General features: G+C 43.3%; 1 protein-coding gene and 1 long non-coding RNA gene across 16 annotated transcripts in view, besides 2 other annotated features; one reads left to right on the forward strand and one right to left on the reverse strand.

Annotated features, from left to right (window-relative positions):
- The window catches only part of DOCK7 (dedicator of cytokinesis 7), a 233,661-nt gene extending 232,727 nt beyond the window's left edge, over positions 1-934 (reverse strand). For all 15 annotated transcript variants that reach the window (XM_047432967.1, NM_001272001.2, NM_001272000.2 and 12 more), the window contains exon 1: positions 775-934. In XM_047432967.1, the coding sequence (XP_047288923.1) occupies positions 775-812 (38 nt within the window). In that variant the 5' untranslated portion in view covers positions 813-934. The remainder of the gene's footprint in view (positions 1-774) is intronic.
- Positions 287-1,036: a silencer, noted in NCBI's record as "silent region_946". NCBI's record gives its function as "represses an Ori minimal core promoter by ATAC-STARR-seq in GM12878 lymphoblastoid cells {active_cell/tissue: GM12878}" and the evidence as "EXISTENCE:reporter gene assay evidence [ECO:0000049][PMID:35858748]".
- On the forward strand, positions 1,030-23,242 carry DOCK7-DT (DOCK7 divergent transcript). The gene is made up of 2 exons (NR_185999.1): positions 1,030-1,200; positions 22,186-23,242. It is a non-coding gene; the product is annotated as a DOCK7 divergent transcript (long non-coding RNA).
- Positions 2,046-2,340: an enhancer, noted in NCBI's record as "tiled region #4934; HepG2 Activating DNase unmatched - State 2:TssF". NCBI's record gives its function as "activates a minimal TATA promoter and a strong SV40 promoter by Sharpr-MPRA in HepG2 cells {active_cell/tissue: HepG2}" and the evidence as "EXISTENCE:reporter gene assay evidence [ECO:0000049][PMID:27701403]".
- Positions 23,243-23,735: the final 493 nt, after the last annotated feature.

The following is a 23,735-nucleotide window of genomic DNA, read 5'->3' on the forward strand; positions in this document are numbered from 1 at the left end:
AAAGAACACTGCCTATCATCCATCTTCTCGGGTGCTCTGAGAAACACAGGCGCACAGTTAAATTCACAGGCGAACTCAGAACAAGCTTCAGCCTGCAATCCGTCAGGGATTCGGCAGCTGCACACCGAAGGTGCAGCCCGCAGCTCTCAACTTTTCATTCTGTCCACACGTTTTCAATCCTGGACGCACAAGTCCACTTTGAACCTGGCCCGAGGGTGCAAAGAGGGTTCCTGTCAGATTTCTCAGGAAGAGAGAGACGCGTGAAGGAGGGGCGGCCTCCCACCCGCCCCGAGCCGCCGCGCGTTTCTCCTTTTGTTGGGGTGGAGGAGGGCGGACCCCGCACCCTCTAGGGGCCAAGAGGGGTGGGCGGAGAGACGGGAGGGGGCGAAACGCCGCGGCGGCCCCCGACGAGCCCGGGGGTGGGAACACAAAGAATTTGGGAAGCGGCCGACCGCCCTTCCATAAACCTCCGCAGAAGTCCAGGCCCGGGCCGCCGAGGAGCAGGAGGAGGCGGGCGCGCTGGAGTCCGCGGCCCTCTCCGCTCCCTGCCGAGGCTCAGCGGCGGGCGCGGGCTGAAGGCCGGGGTTCGAGGGCGGCGCGAGGCCTCCGCTACCCCCTCAGCCACCCCGAACCCCTTCCGCCCCGCCGCGAGCCAGGCCGCGGGATCCCGGTGCCGGCCCCGCCACACCCACCCGCCTCCTAGGCCAGGCCTGGGAGGACTCCGCGGCTCTTTCTCGGGCGGCGGCGGCGGCGCGCCCCACGCCGGATATTTACCTGCTGATCTTCTGGGCGAAGGCGCGGCGCTCGGCCATGGCTGCTGCGGCGACGGCGACGGCGGCGGCGGCTGCGGCGGGCCGGGTGCGGACCGGCGGGCGCGTGCCTCCTCGCTCGTGCTCCCTCCCTCGCGGCCTCCGCCAGTCCGGGCTCCGGACCTGGGAGGCTGGGGCTGGCGGCCGGAGCCAGGAACGAGCCCTGCCGTAATGTTCCTTAGAGGCGCGCAACGAGAAACCGCTCCTCCCCCAGCGCGTCAATCCCGGCGGGAACCCCGGCTGCGGAAGGCGGCTGCGGCCGGCGGGAGCCGAGGGGAAGAATGGAGCGCTGAGGAAGCGAGGCGCCAGCCCCAGCCGCTTCGCTGCCGCGGAGCCTGCACGACCGAGAGGTCGCGGAGAGAAGCCAGAGACAGGCCAGCGACCTGGCGAGGCAAGAAAATAAGATAACCGAACGCGTAGGGGGAGCTTGGCTTTCCCGAAATGGAAGGGAAGGAAATGAAAGGTGGGCTTTGCCGAGGGGGCTGTGCTTTAACCAAAGCCCTGGATGACTGGGTTCATGTTTCTGCAGCACCGGTCTCCGAGCTTTTTAAAGCACTTGGGTTTCTGCTTCGGCCTCATGAATGCAGCCTAACTGGAGAAACAGTGGTTTTTCTTATAGAGAAAGAGCCAGAAAATACCTTGCTCCTGCAGCGATAACAATAGTAATAGTTGACTTCTGGTGCTTAGCCAGCCACTGGATTAAAGTTTTTCAAGCACGAGCGCTTTGAAGTAGATCGTTACTATCACTATTTTAGAGGGAAGGAAATTGGCTTGGAAAAGCTAAGTGACTGGCCCCAGGTCGCACAGATGGTAAACTCTTCCACTGAGACTCAAACCCAGAGCCGGTTCTTTTCTTTGAGGACAGTTGTTTCCGTATTATTAACCCCTTTTGGATCTCTCTCTGTCTCTCATACATACATATATATATATATATATATATATATATATATATATATATATATATATATAAAATCCAGGTGAGCTCTAACGTTCACCCCCATTTTGATGTTCTGTTAAATAAGCTCTGTGTTGACCACTGAAACTGACCTTGTCCATAATAGCCTATAAAACAGAGACTAGCAGAGATTTGTTTTCATCTGTTCTGTTGTAATCCCATAATGTCTAGAATATTTGGCTCCTAATGCATATCTGTTGATACTGAAATTATGGTGACACTAAGAAAAATATCTTGGTTTCTTGTAGTACCTTTCCTCTTAAGTATTGCAAGAACTTAAAATGTGTATTTATTTATTGTTATTATTATATTCTCAGTATGTCCTGGTGGAATATGTTGGATACCTGTTTTCCTCTCTTTTACCATTGGAAAATCTGTAGCTTGGAGCCATTAGGTCACTTGCCAGAGTCACACACTGAGTCAGAGGTGAAAGCCTCAATTAGTCAGATCCATAACTTCCTGTCTAGTGCTGTAACTTCTGTGGAAGACTGTGTATTTATATAACAATGCTCATTGCAGTAACACACTGCTTTTATTTATTGATTTATTTATTTTAGACAGAATCCCCCTGTGTTGCTCAAGCATGGAATGCATAGGGCACTGCAGCCTAAAACTCCTAGGCTCAAGCAATCCTCTTGCCTCAGCCTCTGGAGGAGTAGCTAGTACCACAGGCTCTTGCCAAGGCGCCCTCCAGTAACACACTGTTTTCAGATGCTTGTTTACTAAAGGAAAAGATAGTCTATTCAAAGAGGACAGATATTTGGCTTCTACCTAAGTATAGAGCCCACCTAGGTGTTCTAAAAAACACGAAGGTGAACTAGACACAGACCTGCTCTCAGAATGTTTGAGTCCATTGGGAAAGATGAACCAGGTACTCACAGACTGTAAGTCAAGGCTATCACTGTACCTGGCTTTTAAGACCCTCTGTGATAGGAACCCAGACTTATTTTGCCACTTTCTTACTCTGTAACCTTAGGCAAGCTACTTAACTTCATCTCTAAAAGGAGGAAAATAATTATATCTACTTGAAAGGGTGTTGTGAAGATTTATTGAATTGATTAATATAAAGTTCTTAGAACAGGGCCTGGTTCATGGTAAGTACGATGTGTGTCAGCTGTTGTTATTATTATCACTGTTACTGTCATTATTCATCCTATACTTAAGCTTGTCCTGGGTGTTTGATAGTCCCTGAATTGGTTGTCTGCTCTCATACTCCCAGCCAGATGTTGCATGCCTTTATCTCTGTTCTCCAAACATCTTTTCACTACTCTCTTAGAGAACTGGCCACATTTTGCTTTGAATAGTTCTTTGTATACATGACTCACTAGTTGCCAAAGTGTCTGAAAGGACTTTGCATGTACTCTGCAGCTTACTGGAAACATTTAGAGCAGGAAGAGGACAAGCAGGATCACGCTGTAAGCAGGGTAATTCAGAGTCTGGGGAACACTCTAAGCAGGAAGGGTGACCCCCTACCTCTGGGGAAGAGCTGGCAGTCACAGACCAAGTCATGTTGGCTGGTATCCCTGCCCCACAGGGTTTCAATGTCAGGAAAAGATATGGAACGCAGCAATGGGAGTGACAGTGGAATTGCTTCAGCTGACTAGCATCCATGCTCCCTATACCACCCCCTACACACACACACACACACACACACACACACACACACACACAGGTGTCAATCCACTATACTTCTGGGGAGCTCACTCCACCACCCTCAGTTTCAAGGGTCTTTTGACCTGGGCCTCACCAAGCAAAGCAGCACACTCCTCTGGCTTCTGTAACTGATTTAGGGATAGGCTCATGAATCAAACCAAGACAATCGGGCCCAACCAGAATTAGAAATTGCATTTGGTATACCAGGGCACTCCATCTAAAGAAGGCCTACCTGAGAATGAAGCCAAGCACAGCAGAGAGGAGAGCAAAAATATTGAAAAAGACAAGTTCCTTAGAATATAGCATGACTTGAGCCTTGGACTTTGCAGTTACATGAGCTAAAAATGTGCTGGAATTTTTTTGGGGGTGTGGCTGGTTTTTCATTAGGTTTGCTTTCATTAGCAGTTCAAAGTCTTACCTGATACAGGACTTCATTCAGTTAACTAACATTCATTAAGTACTATACTAGACCCTGGAAATATAGTGGTAAATAGCGCAGTATTTCTGTCCTCAAAGAGTTTAGGGTCTGGTAGAAGAGAAAAGTAAGTAAATAGTAAGTTACATGCTGAGACAGGAAAAATTAAGGAAGCTATTGGAGTGCATATAAATTCTTGATAGCACCAGTTCTCAAATATGAGGTGTTAAAAACTGGATGGAATTTAACCCTGTCCTTAGCCCTGTTATATAACCTAGGAGAAAGGCTGGCTGCAACTCCGGGAGCATGAGTAGCCCAATTCAGAATTCAGGGCCCAAGCTCCCCACTGATGGAAAGATACAAAGAAACTACTTGCCAGAAGCCAGGACCAATTTGGCAGAGTCTACTCAAAACAGTGAGTTTTAGGTAAGAAAGCCTCAGAACAGTTTTCATTAGACATACCAGTGTACTAAGTCCCTCAAGCAGAAAACTTAGGGATATGACAGAAAAAAAAAAGTAAAGAGAAAAGAAGGTGGGAAAATTATGAGTTTTGCATTCTACCCTTTATTGAACTTGGGTCTACCCGCTTTAATGTAGCACCAAGGAGGATTGTGGAGGGGTCTGGTCAAGGGTCTAAGGCTACAGTACAAAGAAATAGAGTTTTCGGGTCATGATGGATTAAGTTCTGGCTTTGCAGGCAGAATGTGTTCTCTTTTGGGATTTGGGGGAGCATAGGGAATGGTTCCTTTTTTTCAGGCATGGGCTTTTTTTTTTTTTTGAGACGGACTCTCACTCTGTAGCTCCAGCTGGAGTGCAGTGGTGCAATCTTGGCTCACTGCAAGCTCCGCCTCCCGGGTTCACACCAGTCTCCTGCCTCAGCCTCCCGAGTAGCTGGGACTACAGGTGCCCGCCACAATGCCCGGCTAATTTTTTTTTATTTTTAGTAGCGATGGGGTTTCACTGTGTTTGCCAAGATGATCTCGATCTCCTGACCTCGTGATCCACCAGCCTCGGCCTCCCAAAGTGCTGGGATTACAGGCATGAGCCACTGCGCCCGGCCAGGCATGGGTTTTTATGAAACACCGCTGGTTTCATACAATAAGATCAACATGGAGCTTCCTTCTTTGGAAGCCTCTAGCAAGGCCAAATGAATGTGGCCCAGAGAAAGGGAGAACTGAGGCATGATATGTGGGTTTACCTCAATCCCAAACTAAAGCCTAGGAGTTGGACACTAAATCTAAGCTACAGATGCTTTTGCCTGACTTTGTCCTATGTGCTTCACTTCCTGTCAATATCTAGCAAGTGTAATTTTTGCAGGGGGAAATTAAGGGGTCCTCAACCTGGCCATACTTAACAACTAATAGCACCCACATTTACTTTGTTGTAATACTCACCACACTATTGAAGTATTGTCTGTTAATCTTTGCACCCCATCGAACTTGATCTCTTGTTCACCATTGTATTTCCAGTATCTAATACACTGCCTGGTCCATTATAATAACTTAGTAAATGTTTTTGAGTGAATAAATGCCATGAACTAAAGTATTTTTAGATCCTGCCTGTATTCATCCGTTTTCATACTGCTATAAAGAACTGCCCAAGACTAAGTAATTTGTAAAGGAAAGGGGTTTAATTGACTAACAGTTCAGCATGGCTGGGGAGGCCTCAGGAAACTTACAACCATGGTGGAAGGTGAAGGGGGAGCAAGGCAGCTTCTTCACAAAGCAGCAGGACGGAGAAGTGCCAAGCAAAGGGGGAAGAGTCCTTATAAAACCATCAGATCTCCTGAGAACTCACTCACTATCACAAAAACAGTATGGGGGAAACCGTCCCCATGATTCAATTACCTCCACCTGGTCTCTTCTTTGACACGTGGGGATTATGGGGATTACAATTCAAGATGAGATTTGGGTGGGGACACAAAGCCTAACCATATCACTGCCTTAATTTATATTTCCCCAAAAATAGAGCTTGAGGCTTGGATGCAGGTAGTTTATTAGGAAGTGATGCTAAGAAGCTGGAATGAGGAAGTGGAGAGAGTAGAACAGAGAAGGGAAAGCCAGTAAATAGTGTTGTTGAGGTGTTACCACTGTGGGCAATTTAGGCTCAATCCCGCCTGCAACCTGCGTAAAGTGTGGAGTGCACCTCAGAATTGTCTCTTTGAGGCTCAGTATTTACCTGATGCCATCTAGATCTCTTGGCTGAAGGCTTACTATTGGAATATTAACTGCCCGCACACTTAATACTACAAAAAGCTAAGAGACATGGTGTGTGTTTCTGGTGGCCAGCTATCAGTGCCCCTGAGAATTGTTCACCACAGCTACACCTAAAATCGGAAAGGAGCCATGGGGTGAAGTACAGGGTACCAACAGTGTCTATTACAGATCCCCTGAAAGTAATGCAGAGACTACAATAGGGATCTTGCCAGAATAGAACGTATTTGCACCTCATGGTTCTGCTGCTTTACAGAATTGGGAAAGACCAAAAGGCCAGACCACCTGAGTCAAAATGGCCCACAATGCAAGCTCAGTGCCTACTTTAAAAATAGGTCCATAATGTTTTTCCTCAATGGACTATTATATCAGTAGAAAAAAACAGTTTTTCCCATACTCTAACAACATGCTTCTGACACCAGATATGTGGGATTTTTTTCCCCATACATCAAGCAAGCAATCGATTCTGCAGCAGACACCAGTTGAGTCTCCTCCAATTCCGTTCTGGAGTTCTGGAATCTACCTGAAGTTCAGTTCTGACACTGTCTACCTGGAGTTAGCGTCAGATCCCACAGGTTGAGGGCTTGGTCCCACAAGACTGCCCCCCACATCCAGTGCCAATTGCAAGCCACAGGTTGTTCTACCAGTGCTTTGACTGACTGTAAGTTGGGGTTCCCACAACCCCTTTCCTTGAGTTTGATTAATATACTAGAGCAGAACACAGGGGAATATTAATATTTACCAGTTTATTATAAAAGATATTACAAAGGATAAGTAGAAAAGATGCATAGGGCAAGGCATGTGGGAAGGAGCGCAGAGCTTCCATGCCTTCTCTAGGTGCACCACCCTCCAGAAACCTCTACATGTTCAGCTCTCTGGGTTTTGGTAGAGGCCTCATTACAGAGGCATGATCAACTAAATCACTGGCCACTGATGATCAACTTAATTTTCAGCCCCTCTCCCCTTCCTGGAGGTTAGGTGGTAGGGCTAAAAAGTCCTGTATTAATCCGTTTTCATGCTGTTGATAAAGACATACTTGAGACTGGGCAATTTACAGAATTAAGAGGTTTAATGGACTTACAGTTCTACCTGGCTGGGGAGGCCTTACAATCACGGCAGAAGGCAAGGAGGAGCAAGTCACGTCTTACATGGATGGCAGCAGGCAAAGAGAGAGCCTGTGCAAAGAAACTCCCATTTTTAAAACTATCAGATCTTCTGAGACCTATTCACAATCACAACAACAGCACGGGAAAGACCCGCCCCCGTGACTCAGTCATCTCCCACCAGGTTCCTCCCACAACACATGGGAATTATGGGAGCTACAAGATGAGAATTGGGCAGGGACACAGAGCCAAACGGTATCAGTCCTAAACCTCTAATCGTCTTTTACCAGCCCCCATCCTGAAGCTACACAGAAGCTGCCAGCCACCAGTCATTTTATTAGCATACAAAAAAATTATTCCTTTGGAAATCACAAGGATTTTATGAGTTTTATGCCAGGAAATGGAATGAAGACCAAGTATAGATTTTACAGTATCCAGCTATATTTCAAGGTAGTCATATTTGATGAAGTAAAATTCTTTTAAAAGAATTTCAGCTAAGAAATGCAGACTCAGATGAAATAATTAAGCTAAACCTGTATAATCCAATACCGTAGCCACAAGCCACATGTGGCCACTTAAATTCATTAAATAAAACTAAAAATTGAGTTTTCAGTTTTATTAGGCATATTTTAAGTATTCAGTAGGCCACAGGTGGCTAAGGGCTGCCATACTGGACAGTATACAGACAGAACATTTCCATTATCATATGAAGATCTGTTGGACAGCACTGATCCAAAGATCATTGCTGCTAAACCATTAGATAAGAGCCTTATGGGGAACTTTAAATGGTTGGATCAGGCTGATAAGACCAGAACCCACTGATGAATCTTAACATCAAACACACACACACCCAGAGTTAACCAGTCAAACACACCAGAGGCACTATGTGCCTCATCACATGATATAAAGAAGGGAGTGTAAGATGATACATCTATGGAAGATGTATAGGATGTATACAGCATCACCTATGAAACATTCCTGGCAGATATTTAAAGCTAATGCTTGTTCTGTTTATAGAAAATATAGGAGATGAAAGAACATGTCAAACAATATGCTTGGGTTAAAATTAGCAAAATTCAAAATACGGGAAATTTTATAGGACATAATGACCAAGTTCCTTTAACAAATAAATTTCAAGGAATAAAAAAATATTAGAAGTAGAGTAAGCATATAAGCAACAAGAGGTAAATTGGACATAATCAAAATGTAAAGTTTTTGTGCTTCAAGGACACCATCAAATTGAAAAGACCACCCACAGAATGGGAGAAAAATTTTTACAAATTGTTTATCTAATAAGAAACTTACATCAAGAATATATATAAAGAACTCTTATAAGTCAATAATAAAAAGACAACCCAGTTTTAAACTTGGCAAACAATTGGAATAGACATTTCTCTGAAGAAGATATGCATATGCAGATGGCCAGCACACATATAAAAAGATGATCAACATCAGTATCGATCAGGGAGATGCAAATTAAAACCACAGTGAGATGCCACCTCACAGCCACTAGACTGACTAGAATCATAAGGACAGATATTAATAAGAGTTGATGAGGGTGTGGAGAAATTGGAGTTCTCATATACAACTGGTGGGAATGTAATATGGTGCAGTCACTTTGGAAAACATTCTATCAACTCCTTAAAAGGTTAAACATAAGTTACTATATGACCTAGGAATTCCACTCCTAGAAATATACCCAAGAGAAATGAAGATAGATAGATAGATAGATAGATAGATAGATAGATAGATAGATAGATAGAGAAACTTGTACACCAATATTCATAAAAGCATAATTCATAATAGCCAAAAAGTAGAAACAACCCTAATGTCCATCAGCTGATGAAAGGATAAATAAAATGTGTATCCATTCAATGGGATTGATGTGATTTGGCTATGTCCTCACCCAAAATCTCATCTTGAACTCTAATCCCCACATGTCCAGGTGGAGGAAATCAGATCATGGTGGTTTCTCCCATGCTGTTCTTGTGATAGTCTCACAAGAGCTGATGGTTTTATAACCATCTGGCATTTCCCCTGCTTGCACTCATTCTCTCCTGCTGCCCTGTGAAGAGTGCCTTCCGCCACGATTGTAAGTTTCCTGAGGCTTACAGCTATGTGGAACTGTGAGTAAATTAAACTTCTTTTCTTTATAAATTACCCAGTCTCAGGTATTTCTTCATAGTAGCATGAGAATGAACTAATACAAGGATATTATTCCAGAAATAAAAAGAAATAAAATACTGGTACATGCTGAAATATGGATGGACTTTGAAAACATTATGCTGATTGACGTAATCCAGTATTTATTTTGGGAGAAAATGATATAAGGTATGACATTTGCTTTAAAAATAACCCAACATGGGTTTCTGTTGATGGGTGTTGAAGCTGGGTAAGAGAATATGGGGTTTCATTACATCGTTTTTTATAAGTTGAAAAAAGGCCCTCAAATGAGTATTATGTCAGAAGAGAGAAGACAACTTACTGATTAGAGAAGAAAGGGTTGAAAGCTTAGCTCAGAGAATGAATCAATCATGAAGCCAGTCTAAAAGGTCTAAGCAGCCAGAGGTTAGAGTAATCACACAAGTAGAGGAACTGTCTGGCCAAAGGCCGTCTTGGAACCAATGTCTATAGTGCCCTATTGTGCACCATTCTCATTTTATTTCACTGAGCTGAGAACTGAGTGAGACCTGCTGGACATTACTGATTATGGATCTGGGCAGAGATGAGCCCAGTGTTCTTTAGGAACAGTAGGGCAGATCTGGGACAAGCAGGTCTCACACAGAGAAAGGACAGAAACATCAAAGTTCAAAAGAGTTGCAGTCATGGAAAGGTTCTGTCAGGTGGGAGACTGTACATGTTTGTAGGTTATGGGGGAGGACTAGAGGAGTGAGAAAAAGTGAAAATATTGAGAGATACTTTTGATAATCTTGAAAAGAAAGAGGTATCTTTCACCTGCTTGGGAGGGAAGAAAAGGTTGGAAAACCACACAGCATTTTAGAGGTGGAAATAAGGGAAGTTGAGGGAGCTTAATTCAGCATTTCATTTTCTCACTAAATGTAATGATGTAAGGCTAGTATATTAGTTTTTTGCCACTGCCTGACCAAAAGTGATGGTCCCCTTTGTTGTATAATGTAAACTATCAAGCAATCGGCTATCTCATATCCATAAGGCCTGCCCACATGAAACGGGAGAGCCTATACAGGACATGTATGCCAGGGACAGGAATCTTGGTAGAACTGCCTACTACAGCCAGGTAAGGATGAGAATCTTGAATGTATGATCCCACATTGCTGGAAATGGTTCACTCCATGAACTAGGAGATAAGGCCTTGGATAGGGAACTAGGGACCATATTGAAAACTTACCAAGAAATACGGAGAACCAAATGGGGAAGGTGCTGAAAGTCATAATCCCTCTTGAAACAGAGGGAGCAGGGGACTGAAGATGAGAAAAAGTGGGGTTTTAGTTCTGGCTCTGCCACAATCTTACTATAAAGTTTTGAGCAAATCACAAACTTTCTGGGCCTCTCTTTCTTCAGCTATAAAATAAAGGTGATAAAATTAGAGGATTGCTAAGGTAAATAACATTTCTCTGTTACCATTATCGTATGGTACTTGTACAAGTATAGAAAAAGAATTGTAGGATATTCTTTTTCCAAATACTTTAAAGATTTGCATTATTTGTTTGGGGACTACTTAGGCATAGCCTTGCTTAAAGGTAGGGAAAAGGTAGATGATTACCACTTAAGAATGCTGCCAAGCCGGGCACAGTGGCTTACACCTGTAATCCCAGCACTTTGGAAGGCCGAGGCAGGCGGATCACCTGAGGTCAGGAGTTAGAGACCAGCCTGACCAGCATGGAGAAACCCTGTCTCTACTAAAAATACAAAATTAGCTGGGTGTGGTGGCCCATCCCTGTAATCCCAGCTACTTGGGAAGCTGAGGCAGCAGAATCGCTGGAACCCAGGAGGCAGAGGTTGCAGTGAGCCGAGATGGCGCCATTGCACTCCAGCCTGGGCAACAAGAGCGAAACTGTCTCAAAAAAAAAAAAAAAAGAATGCTGCCAAGCCAATAATCATGTGGTTCTGAAATAGAATGTCATTTTATACCTTAGCTCTGGTATTTGCTGTTTTGTTTCTTTACTTTTTATTATTTTTTAAAAAATTATTTGTTTGTTTATTTATTTATTTTGAGACAGAGTCCTGCTTTGTCACCCAGGCTGCAGTGCAGTGGCATGTTCATGGCTCACTGCAACCTCACTCTCCTGAGCTCAAGCGGTCCTCCTGCCCTAGCATCCAAGTAGCTGGGACTACAGGCATGAACCACCGTGCCCAGCCTTGTCTCTACCTTTAATTTTTAGTAGAGATAAGGTCTCACTATATTGCCCGGGCTGGTCTGGAACTCCTGGGCTCAAGCTATCCTTCCGCCTTGGCCTCCCAAAGTCCTGGGATTACAGGTGTGAGCCACCGCACCCAGCCTAGTATTTGCTGTTTTAATCTATCTGCAATTTGTTTTAGTTCTCTGCTTTCTTGACTGTTTTAGCTTTATTATACCACATGACTCTTTTACCAAAGGTGGGATATTCTTTCAAGTCCATTCTGAATCAGATTCTGACTCTGCTTCTGTCCCTGCTTCTAGATGTAATAAATTACCCAATATCTCTTATTTTTACCTTCTCTACTTCTCAGAGATTATAATAGATACTTTTGAAGGATTTTGTGAAAATAATTGATTCTACAAAAATAGTTTTTAAAGCTACAAGTAGAAATAATTTAAATATTGCAATAAAAGTTCATTTTTTAAATTTTATTATTATTATACTTTTAAGTTTTAGGGTACATGTGCACAATGTGCAGGTTTGTTACATATGTATACATGTGCCATGTTGGTGTGCTGCACCCATTAACTCATCATTTAGCATTAGGTATATCTCGTAATGCTATCCCTCCCCCTCCCCCCACCCCACAACAGTCCCTGGTGTGTGATGTTCCCCTTCCTGTGTCCATGTGTTCTCATTGTTCAATTCCCACCTATGACTGAGAACATGCAGTGTTTGGTTTTTTGTCCTTGCGATAGTTTGCTGAGAATGATGGTTTCCAGCTTCATCCATGTCCCTGCAAAAGACATGAACTCATCCTTTTTTATGGCTGCATAGTATTCCATGGTGTATATGTGCCACATTTTCTTCATCCAGTCTGTCATTGTTGGACATTTGGGTTGGTTCCAAGTCTTTGCTATTGTGAATAGTGCCACAATAAACATACGCGTGCATGTGTCTTTATAGCAGCATGATTTATAATCCTTTGGGTATATACCCAGTAATGGGATGGCTGGGTCAAATGGTATTTCTAGTTCTAGATCCCTGAGGAATCGCCACACCGACTTCCACAACGGTTGAACTAGTTTGCAGTCCCACCAACAGTGTAAAAGTGTTCCTATTTCTCCACATCCTCTCCAGCACCTGTTGTTTCCTGACTTTTTAATGATCGCCCTTCTAACTGGTGTGAGATGGTATCTCATCGTGGTTTTGATTTGCATTTCTCTGATGGCCAGTGATGATGAGCATTTTTTCATGTGTTTTCTGGCTGCATAAATGTCTTCTTTTGAGAAGTGTCTGTTCATATCCTTTGCCCAGTTTTTGATGGGGCTGTTTATTTTTTTCTTCTAAATTTGTTTGAGTTCATTGTAGATTCTGGATATTAGCCCTTTGTCAGATGAGTAGGTTGCAAAAATTTTCTCCCATTCTGTAGGTTGCCTGTTCACTCTGATGGTAGTTTCTTTTGCTGTGCAGAAGCTCTTTAGTTTAATTAGATCCCATTTGTCAATTTTGGCTTTTGTTGCCATTGCTTTTGTTGTTTTAGACATGAAGTCCTTGCCCATGCCTATGTCCTGAATGGTATTGTCTAGGTTTTCTTCTAGGGTTTTTATGGTTTTAGGTCTAACATGTAAGTCTTTAATCCATCTTGAATTCAGTTTTGTATAAGGTGTAAGGAAGGGATCCAGTTTCAGCTTTCTACATATGGCTAGCCAGTTTTCCCAGCACCATTTATTAAATAGGGAATCCTTTCCCCATTTCTTGTTTTTGTCAGGTTTGTCAAAGATCAGATAGTTGTAGATATGCGGCGTTATTTCTGAGGGCTCTGTTCTGTTCCATTGGTCTATATCTCTGTTTTGGTACCAGTACCATGCTGTTTTGGTTACTGTAGCCTTGTAGTATAGTTTGAAGTCAGGTAGCATGATGCCTCCAGCTTTGTTCTTTTGGCTTAGGATTGACTTGGCAATGTGGGCTCTTCTTTGGTTCCATATGAACTTTAAAGTAGTTTTTTCCAATTCTGTGAAGAAAGTCATTGGTAGCTTGATGGGGATGGCATTGAATCTATAAATTACCTTGGGCAGTATGACCATTTTCACGATATTGATTCTTCCTATCCATGAGCATGGAATGTTCTTCCATTTGTTTGTATCCTCTTTCATTTCATTGAGCAGTGGTTTGTAGTTCTCCTTGAAGAGCTCCTTCACATCCCTTGTAAGTTGGATTCCTAGGTATTTTATTCTCTTTGAAGCAATTGTGAATGGGAGTTCACTCATGATTTGGCTCTCTGGTTGTCTGTTATTGGTGTATAAGAATGCTTGTGATTTTTGCACATAGATTTTGTATCCTGAGACTTTGCTGAGGTTGCTTATCAGCTTAAGGAGATTTTGGGCTGAGACGATGGGGTTTTCTAGATATACAATCATGTCATCTGCAAACAGGGACAATTTGACTTCCTCTTTTCCTAATTGAATGCCCTTTATTTCCTTCTCCTGCCTAATTGCCCTGGCCAGAACTTCCAACACTATGTTGAATAGGAGTGGTGAGAGAGGGCATTTGCCAGTTTTCAAAGGGAATGCTTCCAGTTTTTTGTCCATTCAGTATGATATTGGCTGTGGGTTTGTCATAGATAGCTCTTATTATTTTGAGATACGTCCCATCAATACCTAATTTATTGAGAGTTTTTAGCATGAAGGGTTGTTGAATTTTGTCAAAGGCCTTTTCTGCATCTATTGAGATAATTACGTGGTTTTTGTCTTTGGTTCTGTTTATATGCTGGATTACGTTTATCGATTTTCATATGTTGAACCAGCCTTGCATCCCAGGGATGAAGCCCACTTGATCATGGTGGATAAGCTTTTTGATGTGCTGCTGGATTCGGTTTGCCAGTATTTTATTGAGGATTTTTGCATCAATGTTCATCAAGGATATTGGTCTAAAATTCTCTTTTTTGGTTGTGTCTCTGCCCGGCTTTGGTATCAGGATGATGCTGGCCTCATAAAATGAGTTAGGGAGGATTCCCTCTTTTTCTATTGATTGGAATAGTTTCAGAAGGAATGGTACCAGCTCCTCCTTGTACCTCTGGTAGAATTCGGCTGTGAATCCATCTGGTCCTGGACTTTTTTTGGTTGGTAAGCTATTAATTATTGCCTCAATTTCAGAGCCTGTTATTGGTGTATTCAGAGATTCAACTTCTTCCTGGTTTAGTCTTGGGAGGGTGTATGTGTCAAGGAATTTATCCATTTCTTCTAGATTTTCTAGTTTATTTGCACAGAGGTGTTTATAGTATTCTCTGATGGTAGTTTGTATTTCTGTGGGATTGGTGGTGATATCTCCTTTGTCATTTTTTATTGCGTGTATTTGATTCTTCTCTCTTTTCTTCTTTATTAGTCTTGCTAGCGGTCTATCAATTTGTTGATCTTTTCAAAAAACCAGCTCCTGGATTCATTGATTTTTTGAAGGGCTTTTTGTGTCTCTATTTCCTTCAGTTCTGCTCTGATCTTAGTTATTTCTTGCCTTCTGCTAGCTTTTGAATGTGTTTGCTCTTGCTTCTCTAGTTCTTTTCATTGTGATGTTAGGGTGTCAATTTTAGATCTTTCCTGCTTTCTCTTGTGGGCATTTAGTGCTATAAATTTCCCTCTACACACTGCTTTGAATGTGTCCCAGAGATTCTGGTATGTTGTGTCTTTGTTCTTGTTGGTTTCAAAGAACATCTTTATTTCTGCCTTCATTTTGTTATGTACCCAGTAGTCATTCGGGAGCAGGTTGTTCAGTTTCCATGTAGTTGAGCGGTTTTGAGTGAGTTTCTTGATCCTGAGTTCTAGTTTGATTGCACTGTGGTCTGAGAGACAGTTTGTTATAATTTCTGTTCTTTTACATTTGCTGAGGAGTGCTTTACTTCCAACTATGTGGTCAATTTTGGAATAGGTGTGGTGTGGTGCTGAAAAGAATGTATATTCTGTTGATTTGGGATGGAGAGTTCTGTAGACGTCTATTAGGTCCGCTTGGTGCAGAGCTGAGTTCAATTCCTGGATATCCTTGTTAACTTTCTGTCTCATTGATCTGTCTAATGTTGACAGTGGGGAGTTAAAGTCTCCCATTATTATTGTGTGGGAGTCTAAGTCTCTTTGTAGGTCACTAAGGACTTGCTTTATGAATCTGGGTGCTCCTGTATTGGGTGCATATATATTTAGGATAGTTAGCTCTTCTTGTTGAATTGATCCCTTTACCATTATGTAATGGCCTTCTTTATCTCTCTTGATCTTTGTTGGTTTAAAGTCTGTTTTATCTGAGACTAGGATTGCAACCCCTGCCTTTTTCTGTTTTCCATTTGCTTGGTAGATCTTCCTCCATCCCTTTATTTTGAGCCTATGTGTGTCTCTGCATGTGAGATGGGTTTCCTGAATACGGCACATTGATGTGTCTTGACTCTTTATCCAATTTGCCAGTCTGTGTCTTTTAATTGGAGCATTTAGCCCGTTTATATTTAAGGTTAATATTGTTATGTGTGAATTTGATCCTGTCATTATGATGTTAGCTGGTTATTTTTCGCATTAGTTGATGCAGTTTCTTCCTAGCCTTGATGGTCTTTACAATTTGGCATGATTTTGCAGTCGCTGGTACCGGTTTTTCCTTTCCATGTTTAGTGCTTCCTTCAGGAGCTCTTTTAGGGCAGGCCTGGTGGTGACAAAATCTCTCAGCATTTGCTTGTCTGTAAAGTATTTTATTTCTCCTTCACTTATGAAGCTTAGTTTGGCTGGATATGAAATTCTGGGTTGAAAATTCTTTTCTTTAAGAATGTTGAATATTGGCCCCCACTCTCTTCTGGCTTGTAGAGTTTCTGCCGAGAGATCAGCTGTTAGTCTGATGGGCTTCCCTTTGTGGGTAACCCAACTTTTCTCTCTGGCTGCCCTTAACATTTTTTCCTTCATTTCAACTTTGGTGAATCTGACAATTATGTGTCTTGGAGTTGCTCTTCTCGAGGAGTATCTTTGTGGCGTTCTCTGTATTTCCTGAATTTGAATGGCCTGCCTTGCTAGATTGGGGAAGTTCTCCTGGGTAATATCCTGCAGAGTGTTTTCCAACTTGGTTCCATTCTCCCCGTCACTTTCAGGTACACCAATCAGATGTAGATTTGGTCTTTTCACATAGTCCCATATTTCTTGGAGGCTTTGTTCCTTTCTTTTTATTCTTTTTTCTCTAATCTTCTCTTCTCGCTTCATTTCATTCATTTCGTCTTCCATCACTGATACCCTTTCTTCCAGTTGATCACATCGGCTACTGAGGCTTGTGCATTCGTCGCGTAGTTCTCGTGCTGTGGTTTTCAGCTCCATCAGGTCCTTTAAGGACTTCTCTGCATTGGTTATTCTAGTTAGGCATTCGTCTAATTATTTTTCAAGGTTTTTAACTTCTTTGCCATTGGTTTGAATTTCTTCCTTTAGCTTAGAGTAGTTTGATCTTCTGAAGCCTTCTTCTCTCAACTCGTCAAAGTCATTCTCCGTCCAGCTTTGTTCCGTTGCTGGTGAGGAGCTGCGCTCCTTTGGAGGAGGAGAGGTGCTCTGATTTTTAGAGTTTCCAGTTTTTCTGCTCTGTTTTTTCCCCATCTTTGTGGTTTTATCTACCTTTGGTCTTTGATGATGGTGACGTACAGATGGGTTTTTGGTGTGGATGTCCTTTCTGTTTGTTAGTTTTCCTTCTAACAGTCAGGACCCTCAGCTGCAGGTCTGTTGGAGTTTGCTGGAGGCCCACTCCAGACCCTGTTTGCCTGGGTATCAGCAGCGGTGACTGCAGAACAGTGGATATTGGTGAACCGCAAATGCTGCTGCCTGATCATTTCTCTGGAAGTTTTGTCTCAGAGGAGTACCCAGCCGTGTGAGGTGTCAGTCCTCCCCTACTGGGGGTGCCTCCCAGTTAGGCTACTCGGGGCTCAGGGACCCACTTGAGGAGGCAGTCTGCCCGTTTTCAGATCTCAAGCTGTGTGCTGGGAGAACCACTACTCTCTTCAAAGCTGTCAGACAGGTACATTTAAGTGTGCAGAGGTTACTGCTGCCTTTTGTTTGTCTGTGCCCTGCCCCCAGAGGTGGAGCCTACAGAGGCAGGCAGGCCTCCTTGAAATGTGGTGGGGTCCACCCAGTTCGAGCTTCCCGGCCACTTTGTTTACCTACTCAAGCCTCAGCAATGGCAGGCACCCCTCCCCCAGCCTCACTGCTGCCTTGCAGTTTGATCTCAGACTGCTGTGCTAGCAGTGAGTGAGGCTTTGTGGGCACAGGACCCTCCGAGCTAGGTGTGGGATATAATCTCCTGGTGTGCCATTTGTTAAGCCCATTGGAAAAGCTCAGTTATAAGGGTGGGAGTGACCTGATTTTCCAGGTGCCGGCTGTCACCCCCTTCTTTGACTAGGAAAGGGAATTCCCTGACCCCTTGTGCTTCCCAGGTGAGGCGATGCCTTGCCCTGCTTTGGCTCACACACAGTGCGGTACACCCACAAAAGTTCATTTTATTTGGCATGTTTTTTCAAAGTTTTTCTTTTAAGAGGTGGGGTCTTGCTGTGTTGCCCAGACAGGAGTCCATTGGCTATTCACAGGTAATCATAGCACACTGCAGCCTAGAACCCCCGGGCTCAAGAGATTCTCCTGCCTCAGCCTCCCGAGTAGCTAGGACTATGGGCATGTGCCACCATGCCTAGCCAGAGTTTGTTTTTGTTTGTTTGTTTGTTTTTTGAGACAGAGTCTTGGTCTTGTCACCCAGGCTGGAGGGCAATGGCACGATCTCAGCTCACTGCAACCTCCGCCTTCTGGGTTCAAGCAAATCTCCTGCCTCAGCCTCCTGAGTAGCTGGGATTACAGATGTGTGCCACTATGCTGGCTAATTTTTGTATTTTTAGTAGAAACAGGGTTTCACCATGTTGGCCAGGCTGGTCTCGAACTCCTGACCTCGTGATCTGCCTGCCTCGGCCTCCCAAAGTGCTGGGATTACAGGCCTGAGCCACCACGCTAGGTCCAAAGTATTTTTTAATACAAGAGTCACCTAGCCAGTCCTTTAAGGTTGTCAGCTCTGTAAGTTTGCATACTTTTACTATATTATGTACTTATAAATCATATATCTGGAAGGAACCTGGGAGCTTATCTGATTCAATTCAAGCAGTGTGAAATGGTTTCAACTAAAACCACCCAGGAAGTGGCCAAACCAGGCACAAAACTATGGTCTCTGTATTCTATTCAAGTACTATTGTCATAACTACATGGAATCCATTCATCATTGACTTACTCACTGAATACAATGTTGTTGTTGTTGTTGTTGTTGTTGTTGTTGTTGTTGTTGTTGTTGTGGTTTTTGATACAGGGTCTTGCTCTGTCACCCAGGCTGGAGTGCAGTGGCACGATCTCGGCACACTGCAGCCTTTACCCCCTGGGCTCAAGTGATCCTCCCACCTCACCCTCCCCAATAGCTGGGACTACAGGCATGCACCACCATGCCCAACTAATTTTTTTATTTTTAGTATAGATGGGGTTTTACCATGTTACCCAGGCTGATCTCAAACTCCTAGCCTCAAGCAGTTCACCCACCTCAGCCTCCCAAAATGCTGAGATTATAGGCATGAGCCACAATGTCCAGCCGTGAGAAAAAAAATTTTGTTTCGGAGTCTTGCTCTGTCGCCCAGGCTGGAGTGCAGTGGCCTGATCTCGGCTCACTGCAAGCTCCGCCTCCCGGGTTCATGCCATTCTGCCTCAGCCTCCCGAGCAGCTGGGACTACAGGCGCCCACCACCACACCCGGCTAACTTTTTTGTGTTGTATTTTTAGTAGAGACAGGGTTTCACCATGTTAGCCAGGATGGTCTCGATCTCCTGACCTTGTGATCTGCCTGCCTCAGCCTCCCAAAGTGCTGGGATTACAGGTGTGAGCCACTGCGCCCAGCCTTTTTTTTTTTTTCCTGACAGAGTCTTACTCTGTCACCCAGGATGGAGGGCAGTGGCATGGTCTCGGCTCACTGCAACCTCCGCCTCCCCGGGTTCAAGCGATTCTCCTGCCTCAGTAGCTAGGATTACAGGCGCCCACCACCACACCTGGCTAATTTTTGTATTTTTAGTAGAGATAGGGTTTAACCACGTTGACCAGACTGATCTCAAACTCCTGACCTCAGGTGATCCACCCACCTCGCCCTCCCAAAGTGTTGGGATTACAGGTGTGAGCCACTCTGCCCAGCCGAGTAAATATTTTTTAAGTGCTACTGTATGCCAGGGTTTGTGCTAGGGCCTGGTGACAGACCTGTGAATGAGAAAATAGGTATTGCTATCCAGGAAGTAACAATCGATAGGGAAGGGGGCTGGGGAGGGAAGTAGACAAGTAAACCAGCAATTCTTTGATAAACATATGCACAGAATACTTTGGGAGTACATAAGAGGATACTGTAACTGATTCTTGGGTGGTCAAGAAGAACTTCCAAAAAGAGATGCCCTGAATCCTAACAAGTAGAAACACCTAACCAGGGAAACTAGTAGGGGTAGGGAATGGACATTCTGCGCAGAGCAAACTGCATTTCCAGATGCACAGATGCACTGAAGTACAAGAACTTGGCTTGTTCTGTGAAACTGCAAATGTTCTGCATGGTTGGAGCTTGGAATACAAGGTAGGGAGCGATTACAAGTAAGATTAGAGAGATAAGGCAGAGGCCAGTTTATGAAGGGTTTGGCATGCCGGGCTAAGGAATATAAAGTACACACTGAAGGAAATGGCATGGGAAGTGGAGGGTGGCAGGGAATAATATAATCACATTTGAATTTGACAATGATTAATCTGAATTTAAGGAAGAAAATGGGTTGAAGCAAAGTTAAAGTCAGGGCAGGAAGACTGATTAGAAGGCTGTTGCATTAAACTAAGAGTATTAATCTATAGATTTTGTTACTGTAACAGAAACTCAAATAACAGTGGTTTGCACAAGATAAAACTTCTTTCCTCACCTAACAGGCTGAGCATAAGCAATCCAGGGCTGGTGTAGCAGTTCAAGTGAGCCACTATGCCCAGCCCCCATTCGCCAGAATTTAGACACATGAACATTGCACAGCTGCAAGGATAGCTAGGAAATGTAGGTTTTATTTTGTCAGGCCATGTGCCCAGTTTAAAAACAGGGATTTATTACCGTAGACAAAGGGCAGGATGAACTTTAGGACCACTAGCAAGCTTCTATCATACTAACTAAGAAAAGAAAAAGACCTAAACTGAAGTAGTGGCGGTGACTTGGGCCAGTTTGAGAAGTAATTGGGAAGTTGAGTTGATAGGACTTGGCTATGGATTAGAAATGACAGGTGAGGGCCGAGATGGTGCCAAACATGATACCCAGGTTTCTGACTTGGGCACCTGGAGGGATAATGGCGAATAACATTTACTGAGCAAGAGCACAGAAGAGGGAGAAGAGATTCAGGGAATAAGTGAAGAATATAATTCAGTTTTGCACAAGCTGAGTTTAAAGTGTATGTAAGACAGGCCGGGCATGGTGGCTCACTCCTGTAATCCCAGCACTCTTTGAGGCCGAGATGGGTGGATCACTTGAGGTCAAGAGTTTGATACCAGCCTGGCCAATGTGGTGAAACCCCATCTCTACTAAAAATACAAAAATTAGCTGGGTGTAGTGGCTCATGCCTGTAATTCCAGCTACTCAGGAGGCTGAGGCAGGAGAATTGCTTGAACCTGGGAGGCAGAGGTTGCAGTGAGCCAAGATCACACCACTGCACTCCAGTCTGAGCAACAGAGGAAGACTCCGTCTCAAAAACAAAAATAAATAAAATGAAGTGTATGCAAGGCATTCAGACAGAAATGTCCAGTAGACTGACTTTGGAATCATCAGCATGTACAGAGTGTAAGAACAGATGTTACTTAAGGTATGAGAGAAGACACAATGGGTCAACTGAGAAAAAGAAGAAAAGGCTGAGGAGAGAAACCAGATTTTTAAAGACAAAAGTGGAGAAGGAATCCCAAGGACAGGTAGAAAGGACAAGGGAAGTAGGAAAATGTGGCGATGTGTCATAGAAGCCAAGGGAAGAGAGCTTTTCAAGAAGAGGGAACAATAAAACTTAATTCAGTCCTGGGCGTGGTGGCTCACACCTGTAATCCCAGCAGTTTGGGAGGCCTAGGTGGGTGGATCACCTGAAGTCAGGAGTTTGAGACCAGCCTGCCCAACATGGTGAAACTCCATCTCTACTAAAAATAAAAAAATTAGCTGGGCGTGCTGGCAGGCGACTGTCGTCCAAGCTACTCGGAGGCTGAGGCGGGAGAATCGCTTGAACGCAGGAGGTGGAGGTTGCAGTGAGCCGAGATCACGCCACTGTACCCCAGCCTGGGTGACACAGTGAGACTGTATCTCAAAAAAAAAAAAAAAAAGAAAAAGAAAAGAAAAATTGTTCAGGAGCACTGTGAAAGATATTCCCAGAAAAAAAAAAAGATGCAAAAGCTAGAGATTTCTATTGGTAGGATTATTTAGCCATTTGCTAGAGTCAGGGAACCTAAATGAGGGCAATAATGGCACCTATTTTATTGGTTGTTGAAAGGATAAGATTAAATAATTCAGGGACTTAACACATAGTAAGGCCTCAGTGACGATTAGCTATTTCTGCTGTTGCTTTTATGATTAGGATTGTTTAAAAATCTGTTTAATAACTACCTATACTTTACTTCCTATCCTCTGTCTCTTCCTCCTGCTGCTGCTTACTTTTTTTTTTTTTTTTTCCAGAGAGAAGATCTAGCTATGTTACCCAGGCTGGATTTGACCTCCTGGGCTCAAGGGATCCTCCTACCTCAGCCCCCCACACAGCAGGGACTACAGCTGCACACCACTACCCAGCTCCCTTCTTCATGTCTTACCTGTCCTTATTATCACAGTGAATAATGCCTAATCTATTAGTGAATAATGCCTAATCTATTAAGAGCTATGTGAAAAACCTAAACTCTTTCCATTTGCAACCCTTTTGGTATGGTCAAGTCAGTGGATCTGGCTATCATACAAACTCAAATCAACTACTACAAATTCAGATTGGCTAAGCAGATTCCAGCCATTTTAAAAGCTTGTCTCTGCTCTATCCTGTATCTTTCTGCATTTACATGTAACTTCACTGTGGGTGTCCTTACAGTATATATTTTTATGAGACATCAAACTTACTAAGAGTACTTTATAGCATAGTATTTAGGAACTTAGGGGTCAGAATTAAGACATTGTTACTATGTCACCTTGAGTATTTTGTTTAACTTCACAACCCTTCAGTTTCCTGATCAGTTAAATAATTATGATAATACAAGACATAGTAGCATCACAGGATTATTATGGGGCCTAAATAGATAATGTATATAAAGTATTTATCACAGTGCCTGGTACAGATGTTAGCTTCTGTTACTACTCTGATTCTAGCCTCCCTAATTCTCATTCTTTTTTGGGGGTTGCAGGGGAGTTCACTGTGCTGTTTGCTATATTTCAAGCCTCAAAAGACAATGAAGTTCCCAAATGCTCTTCAAGGCAGAACAAATATAAATAATGATTCTCACACCAAATGTGTGCAAAGTTCAAATATTGCATTAATGGTGCTTTTTATTGTGCAAATCATACGACTAACCCATCATGTCCTTTCTGTGTCAGGAAGAACATGGATGGGAATAGAAGGATCTTTGAAATCCTACCCTCTGTGTAAATCAGTATCTGTGAATTTTTCTCTTGTTAGTACTGATTTATTTACTCTTTCTGGTGTATCTGCTCTTTCCCTTAAAACCTTTATGATAAAAACATATTTGAATGCCCACTTTGTGCCTAGTATTTTGCTCCATTCTAGTAATTTAGCAGTAAATATGGCTGAGTAATGTAGACGATCACCATAGGCAGAGATGCATAAACTGAAAACTGAAGAATAGCTAGGAGTCGGCGAGGTGAAGCTAGATGCTGTGGCCTTAGATTCAGTTCTGTCTTCTCTGACCAATAAATTTGCTGTGTTCCATGAACAGCAGCTGTGGTCCATTCTCTTTTTGTGACTTTCGTGTGGCAAGTTACTTTACTTCTCTGAGCCTCAGTTTCTTTATCTATATAATAGAAATAAATAATATCTACCTCATTGAGTTAATTATAAGGATCAAATTAAATATGTATGCAGTAAAGCACTTTCTGTAGTGTTTGGCACATGGGAAGAGTTCAATAGGTAGAAGATATTATTAATAGTTTAAGGAAAGCAGTTGGTGAGTGATTTTTAGAAATGTTCATATTTCTAAATCAAACCTAAGAAATTAATGCTAAATATAGGC

Source organism: Homo sapiens, chromosome 1, assembly GCF_000001405.40.
Source record: "Homo sapiens chromosome 1, GRCh38.p14 Primary Assembly".
In the NCBI taxonomy this organism is placed as follows: Eukaryota; Metazoa; Chordata; class Mammalia; order Primates; family Hominidae; genus Homo; species Homo sapiens.